Consider the following 1,820-nt stretch of genomic DNA (forward strand, 5'->3'; position numbering starts at 1 on the left):
CAAAGGTCATTACAAGACAGACCCAGGAGAGTCAGAGTGAGAGCAAGATGTGTGAAGGCTCCAACACACTGCTGGCAGAAATTAAAATGTTACAACTAATTTGAAAAAGTCACCTTTTTTTTCAAGTTAAACCTACATCTACCATATGACCCAGACGTTCCACTCCAAGTTATTTACCCAAGAGAAAAGAAAGATTATATGCACACGGGCGTTTGGACATAAATGTTCGTAGTAGTTTCATTCATTCACAATAGTTAAAAACTTGTAATGAACCAAATATTCCTCAACAGGTGTTAAATAAACAGATGTTAAGTAAAATAAAGGTTAGTAAACTGTAGTATATCTGTACAATGGAATAGTAGTCAGGTTATTTTAAAATGGGCAGATAATTAGTACATACAAAACCATGGATGAACCACAAAATTACTAAAAGACAACCATAATCTGGTTTATGGTAAAAAGAGAGTATCAGTGGTAGCCAGGGCTGAAGGGAGGAAAGATGGCAAAGGGACCTGGGGCAGCTTTGAGGGTGATGGACACATTCTATGACTTGATGGTGGCAGTGGTTTCCTGGGTGTGGCAATGGTTTTTTGCATTTGTCAGAGCTCACTGAATTACATTTTACATTGATACAACTTATTGTACATAATTATAGTTCAATAAAATTGATTTTTTTTTTTTTGAGACGGAGTCTCACTCTGTCGCCCAGGCTGGAGTGCAATGACACGATCTCCGCTCACTGCAAGCTCTGTCTCCCAGATTCATGCCATTCTCCTGTCTCAGCCTCCCAAGTAGCTGGGACTACAGGCACCCGCCACCACGCCCGGCTAATTTTTTGTGTTTTTTAATAGAGACGGGGTTTCACCGTGTTTGCCAGGATGGTCTTGATCTCCTGACCTCGTGATCCACCCGCCTCAGCCTCCCAAAGTGCTGGGATTACAGGCGTGAGCCACCGTGCCCGGCCAATAAAATTGATTTTTAAAAACCTTAAAAAAAGAGAGAGAAATGTGGCTATGCAGCCAGTCATGTAGCATGCACCTGCCAACTTCTGCTTCTCTGAGTGTAGATTAACTCTCTTTCTTATTCTTATACGGTAGATAACTTGCAAGATCAAGCAGCACGAAAGATCCCCTCAGATCATTGCCCCTCCTCACAAAATAATAAAGTAACCTTCTTTGGAATGTAGCCATCTATAATCAAATTGCTATAATGTATGCACTTGTCTTCTATAAAAAATGTTGTAATCCTGCTAACGTTTCTCCGTCTCTGCCTACTTAAGTGAATCCTTAACTTCACTTTGGAATGCTGACCTCATTCATTTGCAGTCCTTGTTTCCTGGGTGGCTATACTCAAGCTTTGCACTCAAATAAACTCTACACCTAGTCATATTTTCTTAATCTTATTCTTAAAGGTTGACATGTACCTATAATATATAACATATACATATTATATTATGTAACATTTAACAGATGAGAAAACTGAGGCTCAGAACAGAGAAGTAATTTCTCCAGGCTGGTAAGTGGTGGAGCTACTGGCCGTAAAACTGGCAAATGCTGATAGGGTTCAGGACATACCACCCCAAAATATGACAGTGGGAGACCAGAATATGCTACCCTAAATATGCTTTCTTGGCATAAGGATTATTTTAAGCTGATTATTTTGGGAAACAGAAGACAAAGAAGATGACTGGAAGTTACCCTTTTAGGCCAGGCACGTTGGCTCATGGCTATAATCCCAGCAATTTGGAAGGCCGAGGCAGGCAGATCACTTGAAGTCAGGAGTTCGAGACCAGCCTGGCCAATATGGCGAAACCCCATCTC

This window comes from Homo sapiens, chromosome 16, assembly GCF_000001405.40.
Source record: "Homo sapiens chromosome 16, GRCh38.p14 Primary Assembly".
NCBI classification, from domain to species: Eukaryota; Metazoa; Chordata; class Mammalia; order Primates; family Hominidae; genus Homo; species Homo sapiens.